The sequence below is a fragment of the Homo sapiens genome, chromosome 9 (genome assembly GCF_000001405.40).
Source record: "Homo sapiens chromosome 9, GRCh38.p14 Primary Assembly".
Lineage (NCBI taxonomy): Eukaryota > Metazoa > Chordata > Mammalia > Primates > Hominidae > Homo > Homo sapiens.
In genome coordinates this window covers 22,446,614-22,462,063 of record NC_000009.12, presented here as the reverse complement: position 1 = coordinate 22,462,063, position 15,450 = coordinate 22,446,614, and the positions used below count along the sequence as shown (strand labels likewise).

The window sequence follows — 15,450 nt, the reverse complement described above, 5'->3', positions numbered from 1 at the left end:
CTTCTCCTTTCTCAGATCCATTACCTACTCTTACCTAGCTTCTTGAGTTAAATTATTTGATTATTTGTAAACTTTTGAAAGGTAATACATTTAAAGCTGAAAATTTCCTTTTCTCAGTCTCTTAAGCTGCATCACACTGTGTAGTAGTTAATTTGTAACTATCACTCACCTCTAAGTATTTTTCACAATACTCCATTGAAATTTTACTTTCTACTCCTAAGTTACTAACAGTACTTTCGTTTTACTTTCTTAGCGTGTAAAAGGAGGCGGTTAGAGGAAAGAAAAGTTGTTATGGTTTTTCTTCAATTAAAAACATTTTAATATAATCCTATTGTGACCAGAAAGATGGCTGGCCAGTATAATAATTGTTCTTTGAAAATTTTCAGGCTGCCTGAATGGCACAAAAATGAACAAATTTACAGTCTTTCTCATCTCAGTAAGTAAGAACACCATTCAGTCCAGTTGTTTAGAGCAAAACTGTAGAAGAATCTTTGGTACCTTTCTTTTTTTTACACCCGAATCCCTAAGCAAATCTTACGGTTTCTACATTCAAAATGTATCTACCATCTTATTACTACTTACCACACCTCCAACTCTTTTTTTATTTTTACAATCATCTTCTAAGCCACTGTCGTCTCTTATCTGGTTTACACAACAACCTCCAAATGTATGTTTTTGCTCCCTTCTTTGCTCCTTTGTTCTCCACCACACAGTGAGAATGATCTTTTAAAATGACGTTTTCCTATGTCAAAAATCTCGACTTTGTATGTTGTCTTGAATGAAATTCATGCATATTCTGTGGATTATGTCAATTTCCTAGTTGTGACATTGCACTAAAATTATTCAAGATGTTACTCTTGGAGAAAAGTGGGTAAAAGGTATATGGGATGTTTCTGTACTGTTTCTTACAATGACAAGTAATTTTAAAATTATCTTAAAATAAATTTTTAAAGCTAGTGAAATCAACAGTAGGTCAGCCTAAAGACATTAGGCATTTACTATTATTGATTCCCTGTATTTAATATGTGCCCATGCTTTGATTCGGAGTAAGAAAAAATACTGCTTCATAAAGCTATACAATTGAAAAACTATGAAATTTATAATATTTTATATGCTTGATTTTGTTCTGTCAACTTGGCTAAGACTGGAAACTAAATTTCCCGGAATTTCCTTCCCTATATGTTTCAAAGTTTGAGTTGGCCCAAAGAGGAACTCTACAAGATTTACAAAGCAGAAAGGAAGCAGAAGTCATTACAGTGAGAAAGATTCAGCGGTACCCAGCAGGTCTTAACTTGTCCTTTCTCTCTTCCACTAGAAAATTAGCGTATATTCCTAATTGCTGATCTTGTCGACCAAGAGCAGCCCAATTCCCACCAGCAGGTGTTTGGCTGAGGACTCACGGATGTAGTAGCTACATAGAGAAAACTGCTTTCTATAGACACCTCCATAGTGCCCTTTCCATTAAGCCACTCTGGCAAGATCATGTGCACTGGGTTTTGGAGATTAAAAGTCGGAGTGGATTTATTACATGTTAACTGCTTATGCACCTCTAAATTATATTCCCTAGGAGACCCTCGAAGATGGTACCCCCTTGGTAAAGAAAGCACCATCATCATCAAAGTCCTCTGTTGTGGCTTTTCCCTGTATGCCAGGGATATCTGTGAGACTTGTGGCCAGGAAAATACCCTCCCTGAATTCACAAGGGATGATGTGACCCAGGAGTTGTGAAATCCAAGAAGTGGCACTTATATTACAGATACAAGATGGACATGAATTCTATGTTTTAAAAAATTGTGCTGAAGCAATTACCAGAATGATATGACCTACAGAGATGTTTTGCATTGACTAATCAATAATTGTGTTTCTACAAATGAAATAGGTGGGCAGGTTAATAAAGTCACACTTGATTTGTATAGGTGGAAAAGCACTAGGTCTGATAAAGCTAAGTCTGCCTCAAATTATCATAAGGAAAGTAATGACCCCTCAACATACTTCTAGAGTTGAACCTGTTTATAGACCCAGAGCCTCTTGCAGAAAGTGAAGATGGGTACTTGTAAGTAGAGACTCTGCTACACTTTCAGTAATTTACATAGTAAATATTTCTCCTAGCTTTCTCCGAAAGGACCTAAACCAATTTACCAAGAGACTATACATTAAGAAAATAAAAATAACCCTACTTTTTAGAATTTACCGAACAATAACTACTCTCTAGAAACCTAAACTGCCACTGTGGTCCACCAGGCTGGGTAGGTCTTAAAGAGGTGAGTAAGGTCTAATCATCAATGACAGTTTGGTTCAAGTCCATCTCACAGTGAGTCTAATGGGCTCCCAAATCTATTCTACATTTATTTCCTCATTTCTGGAAAGCATCTTTGGAAGATACATATTCAAAAACTGGCAGAATTTCCACATTGGATCTCTGACACAGGGACTGAGGACTATTACAATTGGAAATGTCAAATAGAGTCTTAAGAACTTTTCTCCCTCCCAAAGCAGTGAAACAAAAGCAATAACACATTCCTAGAGGGACCACCAAAGTTTGTGCCACAGTCAAGGATGGAAGGGGTCCTAACACATTCCCATTCAAATCACCTATTTGGCCTGTGGCTAAGGCAGATGGATCTTGTGGAATGACATAAACTTAATTAGGTAATGATTATAACTGCAGTTGTATTTCCAGATGTAGTTGCTTTATTGGAACAAACCAACACAGCCTCTTTTTTGTAGTTTTAGGCTGCTGATGTCATAAATACTTTTTCTCTATACTTGTTAGTAAGAACCACTAGAAGCAGTAATGCACGTAGCATTCCTTAAGACTATTTCAACTCTCCAGCTCTCTGCTACAGTGTAGTCCACCAGGAAGTTGTTTGCTTCTCCACTCTATGGGACATCAAGCAAGTCTACTACATAGATAGGCCACCAAGAACTTGTTTGCTTCTCCATTCTACGGGACATCAAGCAAGCCTACTATATAGATATCATTCTGATTGAACCCAATAAGCAGAAGGTAGAAAATACTCTAGATATCTTGTCCAGAGATATGCATGCCAGAGGCTTGAAGAATAAACCCTATAAACATTCACGAGCATGTAATATCTGTGGAATTTGTAGGAATTAGGGCCTGGTGCATATTGAAACATCTCTTATCAGATGGAAAACATGTTTGTGTATCTGACACCTGCTATCTCTAAGAGGTGGAGCTCTGTATTTTGGTTCCAATAGATACCTGATTTGGGCATCTTACTTTAAACCATTTACCAAATAATCCAATAAGCTCTCAGTTTTGAGTCAGGCCCAGATTACAAGGTGGTTCTGCAACAGAGCCAAACTGTCATTCAACCTCTCCTGCCATGTGGGCCATATAACCCAGCAAATCCAATGGGGCTTGAGGTGTCTTATGGCAGCTAGAGATCCTAAGGGAAACCTTCAGCAGATCCTTATAGGTGATTCACAGTATACCCCTCTCAGACTTCAGAGAAAAGTTTTGTTTTCTCACAGGGAATTATTGTCCTTTTGAGAAACTGCTTCCTTCTTGTTACAGGTTCCCACCAGAGTCCTGACACTTAGTATTGGCCATCAAATAAGCAGGTGACCATAAGTATTCATATTAACAAGGTGTTGTCTGACTCGCCAAGTGTTACGTAGCAGTACTTCATCAAGTGGAAACAATAGATGAATTTTCCTCCAAAGATGTTGAAGTAAGTCATAAATAAGTTGCATAGAAAGTGGCTTAAATTCCCATGGCTTCTATTCCTGCCACACCACCTCCTCTCTCTTATGTGGAGCTGTCTATTACAGCAGAATGAGGAAGAACAATTTTATCCTTGTTCACAGTTGGTTCTGCCCTATTCTGGCACTATCTGAATTGGACGATGAGGCACTACAGGTGTGGCCTTGAAGTATAGTGGTGAAGAAAATTTTTCCAACGGGAAGAACTTCAAGCTATACACCTGATTGTTCATTTTGCCTGGCAGGAGATATGGATAGAGGTACATATCTGGAATCAGTCATGAGCAGTGACTAACAGTTTGGCTGGATGGTAAGCAAGTTAGAAGAAACAAGATTGGAAAATCAGTAACAAGGTCTAGAGAAAAAGTATACAGAAAGACTTCTCTAAATGGGCACAAAATATGAAGATATTTTTGTCTTACATAAATGCTCAAATAAGAGCAGCTTCCCAAGAGGAATATCTTAAAAATCTCATGCACAAGATTACCCATTCTTTTATTCCCATAATTGCCCAGTTGGCTCATGAAGAGAATGATCATGGAAGCAGAGATGGAGTCTATGCGTGGTCTCAGCAACATGGACTTCCATTCATTAAGGCCAGTTTGGATAGAGCCACTGCTGACTACCCAAACTGCCAAGAGCAAAGATCTACACTGAGTCCCTGAAATAGCACCATTCCCTGGAGGAACCAGCCAGCCACCTGGTGGCAGGTTGATTACATTGGATCACTTCCATCATTGAAGGAGTACCTCTTTGTTCTCACTGAGGAAAAACAACAACAACAAAAAACACTTATGTTAGATATGGTTTTGCCTTTCCCACTCCTGATGTTTCTGCTAAAACCACCAGCTGTGGGTTTACACAATGCCTTATTCACCTTTATAGTATTCCATATGACATTACTTCTGACAAAGAAACTCATTTTATAGCAAATGAAGTGCAATGTTGGGCTCATGCTCATGCAATTTACTGGTATCCTCCTGTTCCCTTCATCCTGAAACAGCTGGTCTAATAAAATTATGGAATGGTCTTTGGAAGACTCAGTTATGGCACCAGCTGGTGAAAGCACTTTATGGGGCTGCAATAATGTCTTCCTGGATGTAAGATATGCTTTGAATCACCTATAAATATGTAGCGATGTTTCTCCTATACCCAGGATTCATGAGTCTGGGAATCATAGGGTAGATATGAGAATGACTCCTTTCACATTAATCCTAATGATCCACTGGTAATATTTTTGTTCAGATTCTCTACAAATTTTGACCTTTCAGGTTCAGAGAACTTACTTCCCAAAGAAGAAATTCATGACAGAATACAACATTGTACTGGAATTCGCAACTACCACTGGCTATTTGGGGCACCTCAGACACTGAAACAACAGGAAAGAGGCAGGGGTAGCATTCCCAGTATTCAGAAGATCCTCCAGAGCATCACTTAGACTTTCAATATTTTGTGGTAAAAGTTCATGAAAAGCTACAACAACCTAATAGAGGCAGGGCTATAATGGTAGAGATGCTTCACGAACCAGGATTTGGGTCACTCTATCAAGTAAGGAACCACAATTAACTGAGACACTTTCAGGGAGCAGAGAAAATATGAATTGCCTAGTGGAAGAAGGCAGTTATAAATAACATCTGTGGTCTTATGACCAGTTATGATCCCATGACTGAACATGAGGGCTCTAGTAGATAAAAAATATTTATCAATGTATTTATTGCTTCAAAGTAAGTGTATTTGTGTGTGTGTGTGTTTCCCCTTTCTCCTAGTCTAACAAAAGATTTATTAATAGTAGTTACCTATATCTCAGGATTAAAGCTATAGGATATTCAAAGGAGGGTTTGACTGAGTACAACAGAAATGAGCATAACCCACAGATAGGTAAGTCACTTTGTGTGTTCCCTTTTGGGGAGTGGGCTAGTGTGTTTTTGTTGTACGAAATATGGTTATATCAACTGCAGGTAAAAGAATGATTTTGTTTTTGCTCTGAAAGCCGTGTTGACAAGGAGTACACTGTACTAGACTACACTATCAGTTTGGCTGACTGCAAATTACATTTCTCAGAATTCCCTTTCCTGTATTGTTCAAAGTGAGATTGGCCCAGAAAAAGGAATTATGGTGAGATTGTTAAGGTAGAAGTGAAACACAAGTCATTAAGGTTAGATACCCAGTGATTTCCAGGCTGTCTTCACTTTTCCTTACTCCACATCTAGCTTGTCTTCCTGCCTTCTGACCTCACTGACCCATGGTGGCACAGGTTCACCACCAGGTGTTTGCTCACAGACCAACAGAGCTAGAACCTACACAGAGGCACTGGTTTCCCATAGCCCCCCTTCAGAACCCCTGGCTGGGAACCATTTGAGTGATTGGACATGCTGGACTTCACAGAGCTTCAGTTCCCACTTGTCAGCCCACACCAGTGCTTCAAGTAGATGAGTGAATCTTTCTCTTATCTGCCAATTTCCCTCTTCCAGACATTCATTTTCAAGCTCCTCCTTTGTTTATGTTAGGTTAAATTTCTATAACTCCCTTATTTCCACATATTACATGGACTCTGTTTTCCTGACAACCCCAATAAATGTAGCATAAACACAAACTATGATTTCGATGTTTATTTTCTTCAGAAAGCCCTGAAAATAATCCAAATAACATATACGAGAATATGTTACAAAACACGTGGCTCGCCTATGAAATGAACAACCAAACACGAAGTCTGGAACTAAGCCTGTACGCTGCTCTAGTGATGGCTGCCCTTTGGGCTCCACATCCACTAAGTGGATTAAATGCAATTACAGTACTCTTTGTTGAGAGACTGCCACGAGGGGGCAAAGATAATATCTTAATACAAAGTAATAACAGTGAGAGTTATTTATTTAGCATCCCGTATATAAGCATTACTGTACTCTGCCGTTTATTTAAGCTTTTATCTCCACGAATCTTGCAAGTTAAATATTATTACCCTTGTTTTGCTGAGAAGAAATAAATGTCCAAAGAGTATAAGTAACCTGTCCAAGTCATATAGATAAATCCATTCTAGGTTTCCTCAATTCCAAAACAATTGCTTCTTCTAGAAAGACATATTGGTATTTACCTTATAGGAATTGTACTAATATTTGTCTTCAGTGTTCTCCCATATCCTCTTTAAGCCCCACTCATGCCTATATACCTTACACTAACCTCTGTCAGTTTTATTCCCTTGTAAGTCACGCACTGCGTTCTATGTCTTTCTTTTCTGCCTACTCTCAGGAGGCTATCACATAGGCAAAATTCTGATGAGCAAAACTGCACTGTGTTTTATTGATAAATAATGGTAGGGTGTTTTAATTTTCATGGCCTTAGAATTGAAATTCCATGACTTATTTATTTAACAAATACTTTCCATGTTTCTAATGAGCTACAAAATGATTCAGTCCCAATATTAAAGCAGTAATTAAAAATCCCATCAATCAGGCTCTGATTGGTATTTTCTACATGCATTTTTCAATGAGTTCCAGATGCTTTATCATACGAGGCAGCCACTACACTCTTGGACAGCTGTTAACTGTGAAAAAAGTCATTCCTTATGTTCTTCTGAATACTCTATGAAATGTTTGCCTCTTAGGCCCTCTATATGATACAGAATAAACCCAATTCATTTTTGTTATATGCTAGCTCTTAAAGCATTTACCCCCTCTTTCTTCCCACCACTAATTAGTGGCTTAGGAGTTCAGGCTTCAAGCAGCATCCATGGATATAAATATCAAGATTACAAAGAACTCATTGATGTACCAACACTGTCAAATAATACCAACATTGGTTGATTGGTTGTTTTTGTACACACAATATAGACCGTGAGCAACTTGAGGCAAAGTCTTGTATCTTAATCATTTCTTTATCTCTTGTGTCTAACACAGTGCATGGCACAAATAGATTATTAAAAATATTAAATAGGTGTTGAATGAAGAAATTATTAAGCTAATACTTGCTTTTATTTTTTTTCAGTCAGTGGAAATCTAGTGTATAGGTTGAGAACCTATATCAGACACTGTTCAAGGCCATGAATGAAAAAAACAGACATGAATCCTTCCTCAGACATTGGAGTCTGAAATTGCTGAAGTGAGCACAGTAATTCCACTGCAGATGACTCATATTACTAACCTTAGGGAGAAAAAACCCTACTGCTGAGCCCCAATTTCCTCATATACTACTGAGTTGTTAGACAAATGACCTATTTGATAAGATTAAGTCCTTAAATTATTATAAAGAGTATGGAATGTGTAAGGCATTATATAAATTAAGTTTTATGATTATAAAACTATTTTATAAATTCGAATACTGCCCAAAATGGATGTTCTCCCAAGGTCAAAAGCAATTCAGTTTCTCAGATACAAGCACATCATTATAAAACCACATACATAATGCAGTAACTCTAGGATTTTTTTTTAAACCATATCTCTATTGTATAATGTAACTTCCTTTAGAGCACAATATTTTACATTCAGTATCCTCTACAGGATCTAGCACTTTTCAGAAAAATAGCATTCAATAAGTGGATTAATGCAATAGAAACAACTGAAGAATCACCAAGGAATCTAACCTGAATACCATTTAGGAGATTCAAGAACCCAGTGAAATTGTATGCAAAACTGTGTGTCTGTACGCCATTTTGTAGAGTTCTTCAGTTTTATCAGAGTCTCAAAGAGATCTATTATATATAAGAGTTTCTTACTCAGTATATATGAATTGAATTTCAACTACTTGCTAGACATTGTACTACGGTTTAGGCTTAGAATATAAAACTTTTTTATAATAAATGAATATTGAGTACATCGAAATTTTTCAAGATCTGCTTTCTTATATTCACACCATTAAAATTAATGCATAACCTAATAAACACATTTACATCCTAAATCAGCATCAGATACTCTGAAGTAATTTAATATCACATTTGCTGGCAAAATATTCCTTGGAAATACATTCTTACTGGCTTCATGAAAAACGCCTCCATGATAATATAACCTATAGGGGTTTAATGTATGTCTACATAGACTTATATATGTGCATATAGATGCATACACACATACGTATATACATATAATTTAAAAAATCTTTAGTGAGTCATGCTGCTTAAATAGTTTAAACAATCTCTAATTCATCAACTATCTTTTACCACCAGTGGGCTTCCATTTATTCCTAATAATAACAATGAAGCTACTGTCCTTCAAAAAAGAAAAATGATGACATACAAAGAAAATGTCCTAGAAACTGTTTTGTAAGCAGTTTCCTCAGGGACTTTCCACTGACTGAAATAAATAGTTTTCAAATGCGCCAGAGGGAGGACAAAAATTATTTTTAAAATTGCAAGAATACCTCTGAAACTTCATGGCAGTTTTTCCCCTTTGGAAATCTTATATCTCTCCTCAGTGCATTAAGCATCAACTATCTGCAGTTAATAAATATTTATTTGAGCAGCTATTTTAGTTTTCTGAATAAAATTATTCTTACCTTTGAGAATGGCTGCCATATATTCTTGTCCCAAACTTTTAAGGATATTTCCCCAGATACAGACATAAGCACACTTAAAGACTGCAACTCTCATCCACAGTAGATGTGCACTTTACAGTATGGAAATTTTAATGTAGTATAATCCAAAATGACTATTTGAAAAAAAAATGGTTATTCTCCGGAATCAATGTTTCTAATTCATATACTCTACAGAGCTCAGTTGCAATTGGCGATAGTGGCCAGGAGATGGCGCAGTCTTATTTCCTAAAATTTACTTCATAGACACAGTGTCAACTTTAAAGAGAAATGTTTTTTAATGGCACTTGTTTTCACTCATGGAAGCTAAGATTGAAAAATAAAATACTCAGGAAATATAAATTCAAAATGCTCAAATGTTTTATTTATTACGAATCACCCATCTGCAAATCAAATGCTTTAAAAATACTTTGAATAACTTTTTTCTTTCCTATGAACCAGGAATAGAAGAAACAGTTTTGAAATGGTAATTATTTAGAATTGCCTTAATTGTTCAGTTCTTCCTTTCGGTTTATATTCTATTCTATTATGCTGTATTGCTTTACACTTACAAATGTATTTTATCACTAAAAATTCCACTTTTCAATAAAATAAAAACTAGTTTTAAAATAAAAATGTTTACAAATGATAATTTAGGGAGAAAATTCATTAAATATTTCCTGAAATAGCTTTATTCAAGGCACATATAATGTTCAGATTTACTTCTTTCACTTGATAAATCCTAATGAAGAGTTTTCAGATCTAAGACCTATTATATTGCTTGAAAAAAAAAAAACCCAGCATTTTAAGACCTCATAATCCACTCACATACTTACTGAAGTATATTAATGGATGTGTGTGTATGTGTGTGCACGTGCATGTATTGTATGCTGGAAAAACTCCAGAAAGAGAGAATGGGCATATACATTACGGATTGTCCTGATTTGGTCTGAAGTACAGTCTGCCACAAGTTATTGAGTCTTTACTGGAAAGGTAGGAAGAATCTCTAATCATCCCTGAAAAGGCATAATCCAAAGCTGGCCGAAAAGGTAAGGTTGGTACTAACCCAGGTGTTAGGTAGGGTGACATAAAACCAGATAACCCTCTTCCTGCAGAAGAATATGCCAGCCTTAATGGACTGATACCTACTCTAGGATTTACGCCGTAGAGACTTGAATCACCTCCATAAGAAGCAGAAGTAGTTTGAAGAGGAGAGAAAGCTGATTTATTACCTAGAGTTCCAAAACCAATTCCAGCAAGACTAAAACTTGAAGCTCTCTGAAAGGCTGTGTTTTCCAGTTCTTCTGAGTTTGCTAGGTTCCTGTTGTCTGGCTTGTGTTCTTTGCCATTTAAAACCTGTTCAATGGCTTGGACCACATCCCCTTTGCAGAACCGTAGAATGCCTTCTAGCCGGCTGCGCCTGTAATTTGGGAAAATCTTAGTAAGGATATCAAGAGGATCTCTTGGTCTTGAGGACACTGTCGGAAGGCTTGCCTTGGTCGCAGTCAAGTCTTTGACCCATTCACTTTCATTTCCTGATTCCAGATCAGAGGATGATAAGGACCTGGGACTCTCTTCACCTCCTGATTGCTCTCCAGGATGAGGAGACAGGATACTATCAGGCTTGTTGGAGTATTCTGAAATAGATGACCCGATACTTTGTTTCCCAATGACACCATTAGACCTAGAAGATGATCCTAGGTAAAGCTGATGGGATTTGGAGATCAGTTCTTCTTGTCCATTCTGGCATGACTCACATTTACTCTCTTTTTGTTCTGGAGAAGAGGGGGAAAAAAAAATCAAATACAGGGAAGACTTCCCAGAATGTGGTACTGCTCACTCAAAAATAATGCTGGATAATATAATTAATTCACTCCTATTAATTAGTAATATTTATACACTCCAAGACATTTTAATGAATAACTCAAATTTAAAAGATTATTCAGAAATGCAGGTGCTGGAATAGTGAAAAGTATACTATTATATCATCTCAGAATCACAAAGGTATGCAATATTAAAATGCAATTATATTTAGGAATCAGAAGATGAGAGTGTATTGTTACCCCAAATTGTCTGCATAACACCAATATGGCACACTGTCTGTTCTATCTTGGTTGTGTGGGATCTTCCTAAATGTCACCTAAGTTTTGTTGTTATCTAAGTGATATTTTTTCAGAATGACACTATGGAAAGAGAACTGAATAAAATGAATAAGGAATAAAAGGAATAATCTTAGTTTGAAAATGAATATTCTATTTAATCACTAATGCTAAATTTTAACAATTGGTTTTTTATCTCATATTTCAGGTTATAATTAATTTACTTGAATAATGTAAAAAAAAACTGTTCATTTCATTTCAGATTTAAACCAATAAGTACTATTGCTATGTCAATCCCAAATCATACTAGAGCTTGCATATTTCATTTTATGAGAGATGACACAGACGGTATTTTTCATAATCCTCTATGAAATGTACTTTCTTTTTCAATCCTTAAGAAATATCAATAACAGACTTTAAAAGCAAATTGTTTGTAAAAGAAAATTATAAACTGTCCTATTGCAATCTACACAAATCCTCAAATTGTCTTTTAAAAACAACATATTAGGCATTTGCTTTAAATCACAGCCCTCCTCCAATGTTAGGGGCAATTTTCCAAAAGTACTTTTACACAAAGTTCTGGTTTTTCTATCTCAACATGTTGAGCATATTAATCAAACAAGAATATGTTAATACCCTTTACTAGGTTAACACCACAAAAATTAAAATAGCCATATTTACTATGTAACTTTTACTTTGGTTTACATTTTCTATTACCCTAGAGATATATAGGTAAGAGTAAACTGTTAAGTGGAGTGTGCAGAGTAATTCTGTCCAACTTCCTTTTTCTACCAAGTTTATGAATGTCACAAAACAAATATTGCCTAAGACAGTGATTTGTAAATATGATTTGCAATACTCCAGTTTTCTCCAGTTTTCTTAAGAAGAATTCAGTTCTAAATTCTAAAGAAATAGCTATAGTTTATTTTAAAATTAAAGTGTATACAATTTAGCATTTTGAAGTTCAAAATGCTGTTCCTATATGCTGTTCCCATAAGCATATGAAAAAAAGAATGTCACTACTGCAAAAATTGCAAACACTCTATAGGATTTTCAACTTTAAATAACACAATAATACTTTTCTAATGAAATTTGCCAAGTGGAAATAGATTAGCATTAGTCCTCCATTCCACTTTACTTGTAAATATGAATGAGCATGCCCCCGAACATGTCAATTATCAACATTTCATCTCTATAGCAATTTATGCATGAAATCATAAAATAATGTCTTGTTATATTTTACTCACAGTACAATATATGTAATGAAATACCAATTTGCATAAGATTATTTAGAAAATATGGTGTCTTTAAAATATAATACCACTTATATCGTCTCTCTGTCTTCTCAAGTCCTACAGCTTGCTTTACTTCTATTGCATTTATCATTGTATATTAAGCCTTGCATTGTAGTTTTTGGATACATATAGTCTGCCTTCTTTTGAATATAAGGTTCTTCTGTGTAGGAAAAACTTGTTCACTTCTAAATCACTGTTAGTCTTTGTCTAATGAATGAGTAAATTAAATAGACTATTTTACCACAGTTCATGGCTATTGTGTAAGAGAACCAGTCAATTTAGAAAGCTATTGAAGTAACCTTTCAAACATTAGCTTGCTTCTTATGGGGGAGGGGGCATCATCTGAGGCAAAGAACAAAGTAAAATAATTAGCTCTATAAAACAGAACACTTTGGTACCAACTAGAAATCACATAAATCAGTGTCTCACAGGGAGATGTCAGCCATTTCACTATCGGTGTAGTTTCAGGAATTCTCACTTTTACTTCTCTTTCATAGCACTTTTACTTAATAACTGTGCTCTTTAGCACCTTCATCTTTCATGGGAATTGTAGAAAGTCTGTTTTGCCTACTCAAATAAATTAGAATATGTGCAAAAGTTGACACATGCAAACACAAAATTCACTCTGAACTGAATGCCTCATTTCAATTCACAGAATTTTTCGAATGTACTGTGTGAGTAGAACTTCAAGCAGCCATTGAGCGAAAAAATCTGTTGAGATCTGCAATTTTCATAATTCAAGGAAGGTTTCTAATTAATAGTTTACTGTATAGCTATCATACAATTTCATATAATACAGCTTTATAAGTTTTGTATAAGTTTTTGACTTATACAAAAAAAAAATCACAATGATATTTTCACTGCTTAGTAGGCCCTGTGGAGGGCTATGAAGTTCACTAAAATATATCTCCTAACGCAGGAAATGAAGGCAACTGACTCGCAGTCAAAAAATAAGAGAAAAATAATGAAAACTCCTTGGATAAAAAACCTCTAATATTGAACTTTGAAATTCTTACCTATGGTTTTACAAATTACATTTTGCGAAAACAATTTAGAGTGAAGAAACAAAGAAAGACGATGGTTTGGTAGATTTCAGTCTCTTCCCCACATCAAGCTTGCAACAAATGTTTGCCCCAACATGTAGTAAAGAACTGCATCCCCAACTATCAGAGTTTCCCACGCAAAATCAGCTCTGGTTTTACAGCTGAAAACAGTCCAGAGCAGGGAGGATCACCTGAGCCTGGGGAGGTTGAGGCTGCAGTGAGCTGTAATGGCGCCACTGCACTCCAGCCTGGGCAACAGAGTGAGATCCTGTCTGGAAAGAGTACAGAGCAGACTCAAACACAGCACCTCTTACGAAGCTTTTCGCTCAATGCCTGCTTGAAGTTCTACTCACACAGTGAAAGTCAAATCAACTTCCGAGTAAATAACTCTACTCCTAGGGTGAATTGCTCATTTGTTACCACCCATGCTTCATTTTTTCATTATCTCATCCTATCACCTGAGGGAACAACAGTAAATTCCTCCAAAGTGAAGGCGATGGGGTCTCTCACACTCTCATTAATGTCCATATTGCTGAGCAGTTCCCCAAAACTTAAAGTGTTTCTTTTAAACAACTATTCCTGCCCGCCTATGGACACGGTGGCTTGTTTCAGAGTTTCTTTCCAGAACAACCATTCCTTGAGCAAAGAGTAAATCAAAGACCAACTCACCTTGTTTTTCCTCAGGATAATCTTGCTGGAAAACTTCGAAAGCGGGGGTCGCGGAACCACTGGCCTGTCTCAAGGCACCCAGTCCCAGCGCAGCCCCCGCCGCAGGGCCGCCCGTGGACTGTGGATTCTCGGCTCTGCCGCCGCCCCCGGATGCCCGACCACCGGGGGGCCAGGAGAGCCCCGAGCACAGGAGCCTCTGTAGCCCCCGGGCTTCGCTCTCCTCCTGCGCCTGCTGCCTGCGCAGCGCCACCTGGGCGGCCATGACGCGCTGGCGCTCGGCGATCAGGGTGCACTTGGCACACGCGCAGTCCCGCCAGCGGCAGAAGCGCTTGTGGCCCTTGAGCGCTGACACCACACCATGGTTACGACAGCGGGCGCACTTGGGCGTCCGCGGGTAGCCGCAGCCCACCGCGCCTACCCCGCTCTCCAGCCCGGGAGCCGGCGGGCAGCCTCCGCTTCCCGAGGTGGCGGCAGCGGCGGCGGCGGCCGCGGCCGCTGCTCGCAGAAAGAGGCTGGGCGGCCGCAGGAACGCTGGGGGAACCTGCATCCCCGATGGTACCGGCAACGCCGGGGACGGGGGCGGAGGGGCAGCCACCACTAGCCCAGGGGCCAAGTGAGGTCGGCCGCTAACGCCTCGGTCTCTGCTGCCACACTGTGACCGCTCCATTCCCGAGAAATTTCTGGCCGGGAGTCCCAAGTGGAAAGTGCGCTGACCGCAGCTAACCCTGCTGGGAGGCTGGGGAAGCCGGGGCAGGACGCGCCGTGGTCCTACTGAGCTCCACCCGCGCACGGACAAAAGTTTTACACTCTTTCCACTCGGAAGGAGTTGGGACGACCGCGTCCTGGAGCTGGAGACGCTGAGAGGTGCAGCTGTCCCGTGAGCCTGGCAGAGACCCCGGGCGCTAAGTTAATGCCTTTGTGCCTCCAGCCAAGAAGGCAAGGCTAGAGAGGCTACCCCGCCCACCCAGGCTCCCGGCCCAGCGCGGAAGCCGGGGGAGGGCCCGGGGCGGGGAGTGGGGACCTTCTGGGAGGAGGGCGGCGGGGAATCCGTCCAATGGGCTGCAAATGTCTCCTCCCCCAAAAAAAGCCCGTTTCTACTTGCTTCCCTAGGAGTTCTCG

The 15,450-nt window shown here is 38.5% G+C and overlaps 1 protein-coding gene across 1 annotated transcript, besides 1 other annotated feature; it reads right to left on the bottom strand.

The window, feature by feature from the left end:
* Nucleotides 1-6,323: 6,323 nt before the first annotated feature.
* DMRTA1 (DMRT like family A1) lies at nucleotides 6,324-15,240 on the bottom strand. The gene is made up of 2 exons (NM_022160.3): nucleotides 14,332-15,240; nucleotides 6,324-11,000 (listed from the first exon to the last, which is right to left on the bottom strand). The coding sequence occupies exons 1-2, from the start codon at nucleotides 14,996-14,998 to the stop codon at nucleotides 10,153-10,155; spliced, it is 1,515 nt and encodes a 504-aa protein (NP_071443.2). The 5' UTR covers nucleotides 14,999-15,240; the 3' UTR covers nucleotides 6,324-10,152.
* Nucleotides 14,565-15,064: an enhancer, noted in NCBI's record as "H3K27ac hESC enhancer chr9:22446999-22447498 (GRCh37/hg19 assembly coordinates)". NCBI's record gives its function as "activates a minimal SCP1, AML or CMV promoter by ChIP-STARR-seq in naive H9 embryonic stem cells {active_cell/tissue: H9 hESC(naive)}" and the evidence as "EXISTENCE:reporter gene assay evidence [ECO:0000049][PMID:30033119]".
* Nucleotides 15,241-15,450: the final 210 nt, after the last annotated feature.